At 37.2% G+C, this 15,039-nt stretch overlaps 1 protein-coding gene and 1 long non-coding RNA gene across 8 annotated transcripts in view; one reads left to right on the top strand and one right to left on the bottom strand.

Moving 5' to 3' along the window:
* Positions 1-15,039, bottom strand: part of WDR64 (WD repeat domain 64) — a 150,497-nt gene that overhangs the window by 112,877 nt on the left and 22,581 nt on the right. For 5 of the 7 annotated variants that reach the window (NM_001367482.1, XM_011544087.3, XM_011544091.2 and 2 more), the window contains exons 5-8: positions 11,685-11,714; positions 10,306-10,416; positions 6,200-6,414; positions 2,306-2,440 (exon numbers count right to left, since the gene is read on the bottom strand). In NM_001367482.1, coding sequence (NP_001354411.1) covers positions 2,306-2,440; positions 6,200-6,414; positions 10,306-10,416; positions 11,685-11,714 — 491 coding nt within the window. Of the gene's footprint in view, positions 1-2,305; positions 2,441-6,199; positions 6,415-10,305; positions 10,417-11,684; positions 11,715-12,378; positions 12,587-15,039 lie in introns of those variants that run through there. The other 2 variants (XM_011544086.4, XM_047445900.1) reach the window with 2 other exon arrangements.
* The window catches only part of LOC124904603 (uncharacterized), an 81,624-nt gene that overhangs the window by 52,347 nt on the left and 14,238 nt on the right, over positions 1-15,039 (top strand). Inside the window, exon 2 of the long non-coding RNA XR_007067055.1 lies at positions 12,401-12,598. This is a non-coding gene — a long non-coding RNA (uncharacterized LOC124904603). The remainder of the gene's footprint in view (positions 1-12,400; positions 12,599-15,039) is intronic.

Here is a 15,039-nt window from a genome sequence, read left to right as displayed (position 1 = left end):
TTCCTCTTTGCTTTCTGTTTTTGAATCTTCTATAAATTCTTTCCTCAGCTACGTCCGGTATACTAATGAGCCCATCAAAGGCGTTACTCATTTCTATCAGTGTTTTTGATCTTTAGAACTTTTTATTCTTAGAATTTTCATCTCTCTGTTTACAATGCCCGTCTGTTCTTGTCTGCTGCCTGCTTTATCCGAGCCCTTAGCCTGTTAATTGTAGTTGTCTTACATTCCCATTCTGATAATTCCAACCTCCTTGCCATGTCTGCATCTGATTCTGATGCTTGTTCTGTCTCTTGGAGTTGTAGTTTTTGCCTCATTAATTTTGATGCTCTGTTGTTAGGTGCATCTGCATTAAGGATTGTCAGAGCATCTTTAAGAATTGACCCCTTTATCATTATGTAATGCCCTTCTTTATCCCTGACAATTTTCCTTGCACTGATATCTGTTCTATATAAAACTAGCATAGCTTCTTCTGCTTTCTTTTGATAAGTTTTAGCATAGTATATCTTTCTGCATCTTTTTATTTTTAGCCTATATGTGTCTTTATATTTAAAGTGTGTTTCTCATAGACAGCATATAGTTGGGTCTTGTTTTTTTGATCACTCTGACAATCTGTTTTGTGCCTTTTAGTATGCCTTGTAATTTTTTTCTTGATAGCTGGACATGATTTACTGGGTAAAGGGAACTGCTATAAATAGGCCATTAGTAACATGTCAGTAAGCTGTGGGGGAAGGTGAATCCTGTGAGTAAGTCTCCTTCTTTTGATGAGCCTGTGTGTCTGGATTGCGAATTTCACAAGTGCTTGTCAGTCTTCCTCACCCTCCCTCTTAGGTGCGACCAGAGGTTAGAGTGGATGTTTTCCTTCCCTCTGTGAGTTATTCCCTGACAAAGTTCCAATAGCTTAGACTCTGATAACATAGTTTCTCTTGAGGGCATACCTTGGAAAGAACAACATGTTCTGGCACGTTTCAAAATGGTGCCTTTTCCTTCCCCTCCGCCAGAAGTAAGAGAGAATTTTTCACTGATACTCACTTTAAGAATCTGTTGAACTCCTGGAAGTAAAACTCACAAAAGCATAGGGGCCCCTATGACTGGGCACCCCTGGAATTTTTAACTCTAAAATTGTCCATGCTGAGCACTTGTCCATTACAATTTAGGTTTTCCTGCCCTATACTGGTTATTCAGGGGGTTCCTGCCCATGAATTTCTGCTCCAGTAAGTTGTGATTCCCAGTGTTTGCCCCTCTGTCTCTCCAATGTGGGGGCAACAAAACTGCCTTGTGACCTTACTTCTCTGATGGATCTAAGAAAAATTATTTATTTTTTAGTTTGTTACATTTTTACTTGTTAGGATGGAATGGCAACTTCCAAGCTCTTTACATGCCAGACTGGAAGGCAGCCAGGAGTCTCGATGAGCTTTTCTGAGACATCTTTATTAGGGTATGTAATACCCCAATAGGTATCATAACATTTGCATATCATAAAATTCACTCATTGTAAGCGTACAACTCAATAATTTTTAGTAAATTTAGAGAATTGTGTAACAATCAACAGTCGCCACAATAAGTTTAGAACATTTTCATCACCCAAGAAAGTCCCCTTGTGCCCATGTGGGATCCCTGCTTCTACCACCAGTCCTAGGCAACCACTGATGTACTTTCTGTGTCTATAAATGTGCCCTTTTTTTGATATTACATATAGATGGAATCATACCATATGCAGTCTTTTTGTCTGGCGTCTGTTATTCAGCTTAATGTTTTTGATATTCATTCATGTTGTAGCATACATCTCAATGCAATTTTAAAACCCCAAATTAAGATACAATATCGGTTTTCTAGTTATTAATACATATTTAACCAGATTGAAAATAAGACAATATTCAAATGAACCTTTCTATGAGGATGCCAACTTGTATATTACACATGAAACATGATTACTGGTCTACAGATCATACTCACAAGCTCTTGGTTAGCCAACTGACCTGTAAGAATGATTTTAAAATTATAAAATTTTACCAACAGAACTATATTTTGAAATATGTTATAGATGCACTCGTATTGATTAATTTCAGTAGATGATAGAAATAAACAACAAATGGGCACAGTTGATGTTAGGACACGTCATGTTCAAATTTGCATAAGTGGCTTCAATTTCTTCCTGAGAAATCTAATTAACCTTCCCAAACAAATGGAATAGTTAATGTCCGATTTTTTTAAAGCCAGTTTGAAAGTTTCAAAGCTGTCATGGTTTTATCATTGTAAAAAGCTTGAAATTCACAGACTGTTCATGTATATAAATTACTATACTTACAAATTATCCTCGAGTCTCTTCAAGGATTCCAAAACTAATGAATGATTACTGTCTAAGGAGCAGGATCCAAAACAATTTAGGGCTGAAATATATCTAATTTTCATAACCCAGTCATTATGTAGCTTCCTTTTAACACTGGGGATTAAGAAAAGGCAGGGGAGATTTATGTTAGACACACAAACGTATAATATGTTTCTATTCAGCAATTTACTTTGACTGTAACTGAATTGTACTAAACCCAAATGTAGAATACAGCCCAATGCATTATAACACCTTTTTTTTTTTTTTTTTAGATGGAGTCTTGCTCTCTCGCCTAGGCTGGAGTGTGCAGTGGTGCGATCTCGGCTCACTGCAACCTCTGCCTCCTGGGTTCAAGCAATTCTCTTGCCTCAGCCTCCCGAGTAACTGGGATTACAGGTGTGCACCTCCATGCCCAGCTAATTTTGTATTTTTAGTAGAGACGGGGTTTCATAATGTTGGCTAGGCTGGTCTCGAACTCCTGACCTCAGGTGATCTGCCTGCCTCGGCCTCCCAAAGTACTGGGGTTACAGGCATGAGCCATTGCACCTGGCCCACTTTTAACTGTTTATTTATAATCAAGCATACTTAAAATGGAAAAGTAACTTTAAAAGACTCTTCAAAATTTGAGCTGTGAATTCAGAATTAAAAGAACAATCTAGAAGAATCCCAATTCAATAATGGCACTATTGATTTTATTTTACTAGAAAATTTCTAATGATCCAAATGGAGCAGTATGCTTCATATTCTTTTATATCTTATTTGAATCAATCCATCTGAAAATATATTTTCCATTAGTACTTTTCAAACTGAAGTACTGGGCAATGTAAAATCTGAGATCACTGGTGAAGCTGAGTGGGGGATAGTGATAATATTCCTTGTCAGAGTGTTGGCCATCAGTTCACAAAACATTTGAATGTGGGGCTTAAGGTTACAGACAAAACCTCTGCCTCAAAATTCTGTCTTCATGGTGTTATATTTACCAATATTTAATGGCTTATTTGTCTCCTCATTCACATCTATTGAACACCTACTGCATCCCAGGTACTAAGGACACAAGGATGATTAAGGTAAAAATTCTTGTCACCAAGTTGCTTAAATTCTAGTTGAGGAATAGAAATGTTTACAGCTCAAGGCATGAAAGTTCTACAATATGACATTAAACAGAGTGGGGAGGGAGCTTTCTATTCTCATGCCAGATATGTTTGAACTCTGGATCCTGGCTACTTCTTTCTTTAATTTGTATAATGGTTTGCATATCAGTGTTTACTACCCCCATATCCACCCATTCAACAAGAATGAATTCTGTGGATGTCAGCTGCAGGAAAACTTGTATGATAGCTCCAGAATTTAATTAACTCTTTGGCCTTAATACTTGTCATTCTGGTGAGGTTTGAAGATCTCTTGGTGTAAGAAAATGCCGCAACACTCAGCCTATATATACACCGTAGTCTTGAATGATTTAAATCATCTGCATGATTAAATCATCTACATGAATATAATAACCACAAGAACCAACATGAATTAGCATTCATTTAACTGTACCCAGATTCCTTAACTTCCTCAGACTTCTAAATCTCATTTTTCACATATCTATCTAATGAAAACAGGGATTGGGATTGAAAAATGAGCCATGGAATTTTCTGACAGGTGGCACACATATTAATAAAAAGCAGATTCATGTCTCAGCATCTATTCTAAAAGCCTAGCATAACTAGAATGAAATGCTTAATAGTATATAGAGCAGCACATCACAGATTGGGGAAGTCCTCCATCAGGTCTAATTCTTTGTTGGGACTAAGTAATACTGCTTATATGTGAAGGATGGAAAATGGAGCCAGTAAATTTTATTGTACCATTCTTAGGGCTCCAGCAATGGGACTAGTCTTAATTCCACGTAGTATCAGTTGTAATGAGCTTTTAATTGCATATTCTAACTCTGGGATAAAGTATTTGTTACATAATAACAAAGTATAATCCATTTTTTAATGTCTTTATAAGGAAAAAATGTTCATTGTACAAAATTTAGAAAACAAATAAAATTTTAAAAATCACCTCTTTGAAGTCCTATAGAAATTATTTATTAAAGTTTTGGATACTTATACTCAATATTTTTCTAAGTAGAAATACACACACATATACACATTTATAAGACTGGATTCATATATACATAAAAAATTAATTAAATTAAAATTTTTTTATCCCCCAAATTCATCTGTTGAAAGATAAATAATTTTTACTTGACATTATGTCATAAACACTTTTCATGCCATTAAATATTTTTTAAAACAATTAAATGGGTGCATGACATATGGTTATACTATGATTTACTGAACATCCTTGAAATCTGAATGTATTTTAGGTGTCAGACAAAAAATGTATTTTATATATAAATATATATCATTTATGTTTATATTATATATTTATATATCTGAATTATTTATGTAAATGATTAATATCTAAAGTAACCATTCCCCTTTTATTGGACACTAGATAATTTACCATCAGAAATAATGCTGTGGGCCAGGCACGGTGGCTCAAGCCTATAATACCAGCACTTTGGGAGGCCGAGGCGGGCAGATCACAAAGTCAGGAGTTTGAGACCAGCCTGACCAACATGGTGAAACCCCGTTGCTACTAAAAATACAAAAATTAGCCTGGCGTTGGTGGCACGTGCCTGTAATCTCAGCTACTCAGGAGGCTGAGGCAGGAGAATCGCTTGAACCCGGGAGGCGGAGGTTGCAGGGAGCCGAGACTGCGCCACTGAACTCCAGCCTGGGCGACAGAGTGAGACTCTGTCAAAACAGGAAAGAAAGGCAAGGCAAGGCGAAGCTGTGATAACCATACTGATATTTTTGAAGATAGGGATACCAAGTCCCAATGTATTAATGGTTATGAAGGCACTTGATGCAGCTTCCGAAATTCTTTCCAGAAAGGTGGATCCAACTCATACTTTTACCACCAACTAATGTGAGAATGCCCAGCTCACAGCGTCTTCCCCATTTTTAATCATTTCTGATTTTATAAGTGAAAAATTGTATCTGATTTTAACTTGTACTTCTATGATAAATAAGGAAGACCATTTAATATAAAATTTAGGTTTTTCGGCTAATAAAAGTAATACATACCTTTCTCAAAAACTTTAAAGACATTGCAATTATAAGGAAGATGATAATTATCAGTTGGGGATAACTATTGTTAGCATTTTTTTCTGATGATCACTTTGAAATGTTTGTTGACCATTTGTACTGTGTGCACATGTTTGTGAATTACATGTTCATGACCTTTGCTCATTTTTCTCTTGGAGGATTATATCTTTTAATTGAACTCTAAGACCTGTTAAAAATATCAACCCATTGTCTGTCATATTTGTCACAAATATTTATTCCAGTTTGCTTTTAAAATACTAGCTTTTGATGTCCAGAGGTTTTATTTTGTATATAGTCAAATCTATCAAACTTTTTCTTTGAATTCTATATCCATTGCTTTTATATTTAGAACTTTTCCTATCTTCAAGTGCTAGTAACTAGTCACATGTATCTTTTATAGTTTTTTTCACGATTTAATTTTTTCATTTAACTTTTCAATCTACTCAAGTACCTGTAAGTTTTAGTTGTCAATAGCACTTAAATTAGGAGCTATTACACTGATGGTTTCTTGAGGCCAGAAGCATTTCACTCTGTGTGTGTGTGTGTGTGTGTGTGTGTGTGTGTATACATGAACAATGACTATAATTAATTGTTTATATTACTTTAATTTTGTCTTAATTTCTTATTTTCTGTAATTTAAATCTCATTTTTCACTTTGTACCATAAAGCTTACTTGCAAAAGACTATAATTATTAAAAGAATTAAATTAACTGTATGATACTCTTACCTTTTAAAGTTCTTTGAGTCTAAGACCTGATTTTGTAATTTTCTTTTGGATTTTGCCTGCTTTATTCCAAAGTCATCACTGTTGACTGTGAATCTGTTCACAAAACCCCCATCATCCCCCAAGAGGATGTCATCTCGGCAGAGATGGTCAGGCAAAGGCACCACACACACACACAGGAGGCAGTGATCCATTGGTTTTATGACAAAATAATTTTCCTAGAAACAGAAAAATGACTTTAATGAATTATTACTTTGCTCTGTTCAATAAATATTTCCCCTATTATTTGACAAAAATTTCACTTTCCGCTGTTTCTTATTGTAGATACACCTATCTTATAAGATAATTTGAGAAAAAAACCAGTTAACCAAATAAAAGTTACAGAACACTCGCTGTGAGCCCAACATTGTTATTTTGGGTGTTTTGTGGAGAAAGGAGTAGAGTGCCTACCCCTGGGCCAATAAGTAATGAGATTTTTCTGATGCGTGACTGTAAATGGCCTTTTTTTGGATTTATAAGAAAACATTAAAGTAAGCATAACAAGGTTCAGGTGTTACCAGACTGTTGACATTAAACTGGGTGGCAAACAGGAAAATCAAATATCAAAGTCCCAAGGAGTCACCAGAAGAAAAAATATCCTACCATCCAAGTTTATTCAGAAATATTTAGCATTTGTCAAGCTTATTTTGTACTATTGAATGGGGCCACTAAGCTATACAGCTATTGCTCTTCCAGGATTCAGTCTCTATAAATTTGTTCAGTCAACAAACATTTATCTATATATTTCCTTCTGTGTGCCAAGAACTATTGCAGCACGACTGTGCAATGATGTACAAGACAGTTTCTGACTTTGTAGAGCTACTATTCTGGTAGAAGTGCATTTAAGGAAATAAATTATAGTGCTCTGATACACAGTGACTGAAAAGGCCACATCAGGTCCCATGGCCAGAGAAAGTAACATTTGATCTGGGACCTGAATTGATTGAGAGGAAGATTAAGAGGAGGTTGAGAGGAAGGAGTCTAGCAGGAGAGTGAAATCATTCTTCACTGAACTAGAAAAAAAATCCTAAAATTCATATGGAGCCAAAAGAGAGCCTGCATAGGCAAAGCAAGACTAAGCAAAAAGAACAAATCTGGAGGCATCACACTATCTGATTTCAAACTATACTATAAGGCCATAGTCACCAAAATAGCATGGTACTGGTATAAAAATAGGCACATAGACCAATGGAACAGAATAGAGAACTCAGAAATAAATCCAAATACTTAACAGCCAACTTATCTTCAACAACGCAGACAAAAACATTAAGTGGGAAAAGGACACCCTATTCAACAAATGGTGCTGGGATAATTGGCTAGCCACATGTAGGAGAATGAAACTGGATCCTCATCCCTCACCTTATACAAAAATCAACTCAAGATGGATCAAGGACTTAAATCTAAGACCTGAAACTATAAAAATTCTAGAAGATAACATTGGAAAAACCTTTCTAGACATTGGCTTAGGCAAGGATTTCATGACCAAGAATCCAAGAGCAAATGCAATAAAAAGAAAGATAAATAGCTGGGACTTAATTAAGCTAAAGAGCTTTTGCACGGCAAAAAGAAGCCAGCAGAGTAAACAGACAACCCACAGAGTGGGAGAAAATCTTCACAATCTACATCTGACAAAGGACTAATATCCAGAATCTACAAGGAACTCAAACAAATTAGCGAGAAAAAAAACAAACAATCTCATCAAAAAGTGGGCTAAGGACATGAGTAGACAGTTCTCAAAAGAAGATATACAAATGGCCAACAAAAATATGGAAAAAAATGATCAGCGTCAAATTAATGATCAGGAAAATGCAAATCAAAACCACAATATGATACCATCTTACTCCTGAAAGAATGGCCATAATCAAAAACCCAAAAAATAATAGACGTTGGTGTGGATGCAGTGAAAAGGGAACACTTCTACACTGCTGGTGGGAATGTAAACTAGTACAACCACTGTGGAAAACAGTATGGAGATTCCTTAAAGAACTAAAAGTAGAACTACCATTTGATCCAGCATTCCCACTACTGGATATCTACCCAGAGGAAAAGAACTCCTTATATATAAAAGCTACTCGCTCACTCATGTTTATAGCAGCACAATTCGCAATTGCAAAAATGTGAAACCAACCCAAATGCCCATCAATCAATGAGTGGATAAAGAAACTGTGGTATATACATATACAATGGAATACTACTTAGCCATAAAAAGGGATGAATTAATGGCATTCACAGCAACCTGGATGGGATTGGAGACTATTATTGTAAGTGAAGTAACTCAGGAATGGAAAACCAAACATCATATATTCTCACTCATAAGAGGGAGCTAAGCTTTGAGGATGCAAAGGCATAAAAATGACACAATGGACTTTGGGGACTCTGGGGAAAAGGGTGGGAAGGGGGTAAGGGATAAATGACTACAAATTGGGTTCAGTACATACTGCTTGGGAGATGGGTGCACCAAAATCTCACAAATCGCCACTAAAGAGCTTACTCATGTAACCAAATACCACCTGTTCCCCCCAAACCTATGGAAATAAAAAAATTTAAACAATTTTTAAAGAGAGAGAGAGAGAGAGAGAAGAGGCTGTAGAGCCTTGTCCTGGCCAAGACAGGAGGGGAGGGGGTGTCAAATGCAAGGATATTTTGCCTTCAGAGAGAGGACGAAAGTAAGGATGTGGTTTCCAGTTAAATCTGTAGGTGACAGCACTGGAATTTGAAAGAGGACAAGTCTGATAGTAGACTCAGTTTTTGCAGGAAAATAGAGTGCAAGTCCATCTACTAGAGGGAGAAGCCTGAGAAGAATACTGAAATTGTGGATGACTTACAAGAAATGGGCCAGTGAGCTGGTTAGAGCCAGAAAGAGATTGATGGAAGCTACTGCAGACCCGAAGTTCATAATTGTGCCAAATAGCACTGTTTAGTTTTTTTCAGCAGTGCTTAGCCACTGTGAAGGAGCAGAGAAGGGCTAGGGCATCCCTCCAGGTTGAAGGACAAAGATCGAAGAGAATGAAGGGTGAGGCTGACCAGTTCAGATGATACCCCCAGAGGGTGTAGGCAAGAAGGGAAGAAGAGAAGAGTTGACGGAGAGTGAAGACTGGAACATGATGTTTTCAAGGAACTAAAGGCTTCTATGGGATTGAAAAGCAAGAGTGAAAACAGAACAGCATGAGGAGAAGAGGTAATGATCAAAGTTCAGGATCTTGGAGTTTAGGGGTTTGGAAATTAATAAAACCTGGTCTATAACACAGCACATAATAAAGTACGTTGACCAACAAGCTGCTGTCTTTAAAATTATTCTGGCATCACTAGTTGGTTACAACATTATGAACAAATAGCAAAAGAAGGTTAGTTTTTTACCAAGGCTAGGAACAAGAAAGGCATGAAGGAAGGTTAATTTATTTCTTAATCCTCCATGTCCTTCAAAGTCAGTCTGCTTCCTGAAGACATTTTTAAATAACCTCGGTGCTCAGTGATCTCACCCTCCCTGAGTCCCCGTTGCACCATATAATTTGCTGTATCATCATATTATATATTATGTTTATTCATGAGGAACTTCAAGACTGAGTTTTGTTTGAGTGCAGAGAACATAATCCTTACTTCTAAGTGTCTGCAAATGCCCAATAAATACTGTAGATTGGTTAAGCAGTAACATCTCAGCCACTGAAGGGCTGCCTCATTAGATGTTTTTGCCGGACTTAGACATTTGATTTTAGTAATTTTCTTACCTAATGAAGCTGGACTCGGGAGAAAAGACTTGAACTTGATAACATGAGTATACCCAAAGAAAGATAATACTTGGATTCAGAGAAGGGTATAAAAGAAGAAAGGAATTACCCCCTCTCTCAAAAACAACCCAACCGCCACTGAACTAAATATACACTAAATGAAAAGAATAGTCCCTTTTAATTAGAGAGTATACATGCTGAACTTGATCTAAGAGATTACTTACTTAAATCCTCTCATTTTATAGATGAAGAAACTGATGTTCAATAGAGAAAGTGGATTGCTCATATCGTACCACTACTGAAAAGACAATCTCATTTCTTTGAGTATTTCTCTTGGCACAATACCTGGCTGCTCCCTTGAGCTTTATAATCCCAGACAATAATGGTCCTTTCGGTTGTGGCTACGATTCGTTTCAGCTGCAAGAGGTAATCACACCCTGTAATCCAGGAGGTGTCCTGATAGAAAAGCAGAGAATTGGGGGATATAATGCATTTCCTTCAATGACCTGGTGATGGTCACCAAAGAGCAGGTTAGTCACACTAAAAGCTCCATTTTGCTGCCTTATTACAGAGAAGCCTTGCAGTACATCCTGTCTGAGTGTCTGGGATACAGGCTCCCATCTTTTCCCCTTTCACCCTTACCCTGAGTTTCTCAGTACTATCAGCTGGAGAATGATTCAGTTAGCGATAGGATTGCTCCCTGGAAGCACACAGCAGTTGGTGGAGCATCTTTGTGCACTATTCACTGCTGTGAGACTGCTTCTTCACATGGGCAGTAGGAGACTAGATTTAGGGCACTGATTAAGCGAGCTCTCGAGCCCTGTCCCCATGCTAGAAAACAAAGACCTTAGTAATTACCTGGTCCATGATAAGTGGAGCCCAAGGAGAATTTCTTGTGTCCTACCTAAAGACACCAAGCTGGCATGGCTAGGATTTGTAATATCAACAACACACTCCTGAACAGAAACAGAAGCTTCCATTTATGACTGCTGCATGCATTTCAGGCATGGCCTCTAACTTTCTGTAAAACCTGTTAGAAATTCCAGTGTTGGCTTTTTTTTTTTTTTTTTTTTTTTTTTTCAGTTTAAGAAATGGAGGTTCAGAAGTTTACAGAGAATCCAGACTCCTTTGCCAGGCAGCATGGCACCCTTCTTTGTAGTTCAGGGTATTCAGTGCATGCAAGCAATGAAAAAGTCCAGCATTCTCCCAGCTCTCGTAAATCCATAATGAGATTCTGCAAGCAAGTCACTGTAGCTTTACAACATCTGCTGCAATTACTATTCCGATTAATGATGTGGATTAAATAAATCACAAAATTGTACTCAAACTTTTAATGTTATTTTCAACTTTAAAATAAAAATATTTTCTAACTATTTCCATGGGCCACCTCCTTATTCTTACAACTTAGGTTGTGTCCATTCTTTACATTCTCCAACAGCAGATGCTCAGAAAAACTCAGAAGCTTTTAAATTGAAGCTTCCAAGGAGTAACCAGTTTCCAAGCAATTCTCTGCAGTCAGTTTAACTCCGGAAAGCAAGACCTGGGTCCTCTTTGCTGTTGCTCAAGGCTTAGGTTTGATCCTAGTCAGTAAACATAAATTTATAATATATGAAACATATACCCAGAGCCTATTCAGTACTTCATTGAGATTTTAATTAATTGTGAAGGAAACATCATCATAGCCCTAACTTTGACTTAATTAGGAATTTTTAAAGTGTACTTACTGTAACATTGGTGCTGGTCTGAACTCTCATCTATGAACAAAGGAAGAGAATAATGAAACCTAGTTGGCACTACCATTAAAGATGAGAATGCTGACTCTAAAACAACACAGTATCTTCTTGGTTTAATCTCAGTTGTCATTCTGCCTTCCATAAGTCTCCTCCCTGTTTCTCCTTCTGAAACATCTAGCTCTGTGGAATAATGCACACTGTTTGCTGTGAGCAAGGCTTATACCTCTGTGGCTCATTGTTAAACCTGGTGACTGTGCTGTTAACACTTCACTAATCATTGTCTTCCTTCTTTATGCAAACTACATCATATTTTTTTTAGTTGTTTGGAGCAACATTTGATGCCAAAAAAATAGGAATGCAAAATAATCTAACAGCAATGGCAAGAGTAGTTACATGAATGCTAAATAGATCAATATTTAATAGAGTGATGGAGAAAAACTACCATTGTTTTGTTTAAAGTTATCTCTCCAAGTTGAGACTTAAAAGAACATTTTACCCAGTGGGCCTCCTCTTTTATTCAGTAAGCACCTATTGAGTGAATATCATGCATTGGGTACTATACCAGTTAAGAACCACAGATTTATCCCATGCAGAGAGCTACTGTATATATGAGCAGCCTTTCATACTCTTGTGGCATGGAAATTGCTCCCAAGATGAAGGCAAGTAGTTGAAGTATTTCACTGACCTTGTTTCTTTTACATGCTCAGATGGCCTTGAGAAGTATCTAGGAAACAGCGGCCCAGAAGAAACGGATTATGTGAAATAGAGAAAGTAGATCAGAGAGATCACTAAAGCTGTTAGTCATGGCTACCCACAGACTGTCTTTCATCTGAAGAGTTCAAAAAGGCTTTTCTAACCCGGGACTGACTTCTAGGTGGAAAAAATACATCGCTGTAAGAAAACCGGTGAGTAGCAGAACAGAACACCTGTGGTTTCTGTTTCTCTTTCTCTATATATATCTTTAATGGAAGTCACCTGTTTAAAGTCCTCTCAGCTTCTTTAAAAGTTTCATAATCCTTACAGATATATTTTGAATTTTTAATTTCTTACTTTGGTAAGATACTAAAAATTTACTTTTATTAATAGCATTTAATGTTTATATCACCAAGAAAATCCTGAACTATATTTATTGTACTTCAGATAGAGCCTAAATTATGAATTAATCCAAGATATTTTGAGTTGTTAATGGCTACCTTTGAATAAATTACTCCTGTGACCTACACTTCCAGCTTAACTTTTTTCACATGATGTGTCATATTTGTAAGGCTTGCAACAATCAAAACAATATTATTCCTGCTGTATTAAATCTTAAAATAATTAATTTTGGGCTGGGCATGGCTCACTCCTGTAATCCCAGCAATTTGGGAGGCCATGAGGTGGGAGGATGGCTTGAGACCATGAGTTCAAGACTAGTCTGGACAACACAGCGAGACCCTGTTTCTACAAAAAAAAAAAAAAAAAACCATTAATTTTTTAGCCATTTTTTCCTCCAGTTACATTATCTTATAAAAAACATATGTGTTTGCACGTTTGTGAGTATACACGTGCCCATCTGTAAGCTTTTGTGTGTATGTGCATGTTTGTAAAGCATCTCTGGAAATGTGATAATGCCGCCTGACTTATTTCACATCATTCTGAATGTTTTAGTATGCACATAATTATTTTCCTTCTCCTATTATTTTCTAGATACCATCTTAGTTCTGTTTTTGAGGTAATAAAGGTAACAAAAGAGAAGGGGAATAATGCACCAAGAGAAAAAGATCAAGAAGGTTTTTATATATAAATGAGGCAAATTCATTTTTGTTTTCACATTATTTGTTTATTATAGCAATGGCCAATATTTGCTGAGGAACTCTAATGATGCTAAGCACTTCATGAGTATTAACTCACTTAAACAGCAAGAAAGAAGGTCTATGATTCGGGATGAGGAACCAGGGCATGCAGATATTAAATAACACGCACAGCTGTAAGTGTTAGTGCGAGGCTGGAGCCCAGACTCCACGCCCACACTCTGCATCCCTCACTGCACCACCTCCAGGGCCCACACAGCCCCCTCCTCTGACAGAATCTGGCTGTCTGTGACTTCAACTTCTGAAAGATTTCCTGAGCTGGAGATTACTGAAGAACTGAAAATTATGATAAAATTTTAATCACATAATGATTATTTCAAAGGTATTTTACTTGCATAAAGCTTGTTTCTAGTTGGAAATGAACTAATCATTAGGATTTTTAAAATAATTAACACCAAAGATTCATCTTTTATTTTCATAGCAAAATATTATGTAGGGTATATTGTAACATATTCCATTAAAGTGAAAGTCCAAAATTACAAATTTAGAAATGACATTGATAACAGCAAAGCCTTACATTCATGTAGGAATTTATTGCTCATAAAGTGTTTCTACACTCATTCTCTCATTTGACCCTCACTACAATCCTTTGAGGGAGGACAGGTTTTATTGTCCTCATTCTACAGATGTAAAAAAAGAGATGTGAAAGATATGTAAGTGGCTCACTAAGCTCCCTACTTAATGACATAATTAGTAAAACAGTAGGGCGAGAATTTGAGCAATTCATTTTTATTTCAAGTCCAAAGTTCCTGATGGGACCTTTTATTAATCACTTGGCTTGTCAGTGTTTCTGATTTTAACTGAGATATTATCCAGGATCATCTTTTAATTGTGTTGATGCCACATGGTTCCATATGACACCCTGAGGAACAATGCCAAATGCAGTCACCAGTTTCAAAGAATTGCCACAGAGCACAGCAATCTCCTCATTACTAAATATTTGGATTTATTTTTTGGAATAACTCTAAAATATAATTTATGGTTTCCGCTGTACCTGATACATATGCATAATGCAGAGACAAACCAAAAAAGAGAAAAGGAAGGGAGGAGGGAAGAAGAGAGGAGGGGAGGAGGAGAGAGAGGAAGGGAGGAAGGGAGGGAGGAAGGAAGGAGGGAGGAAGGAGGGAGGAAGGAAGAAGGGAGGGAGGAAGGGAGGGAAGTTGGGAGGAAGGAAAGAAGGAAGGAGGGTGGGAGGTAGGGAAGAAGGAAGGAAGAAGGGAGGGAAGGAGGGAAGGAGGGAGGGAGGAAGGAAGGAGGGAGGGAGGAAGGATGAAGGGAGGGAGGCAGGAAGGAGGAAGGGAGAAAAGGAAGGAAAGAAGAAGGAGGGAGGGAAGGAAGAAGAAAGGAAGGAAGAGAGGGAGGGAGAAAGGGAGGAAAGAAGGAAAGAAAAAGAAGGGAGGAGAGAGGAAGGAAGGAGGGAGGGAGGAAGGAAAGAAGGAAGGAAGGAATAAGAGGAAGGAAATAAAAGCAAGAAGGAAAGAAAGAAAGGAGGGAGG

The sequence above is a fragment of the Homo sapiens genome, chromosome 1 (genome assembly GCF_000001405.40).
Source record: "Homo sapiens chromosome 1, GRCh38.p14 Primary Assembly".
Taxonomy (NCBI): domain Eukaryota; kingdom Metazoa; phylum Chordata; class Mammalia; order Primates; family Hominidae; genus Homo; species Homo sapiens.
The sequence above is the reverse complement of the archived record's forward strand: the minus strand, read 5'-3'. Positions and strand labels throughout refer to the sequence as shown.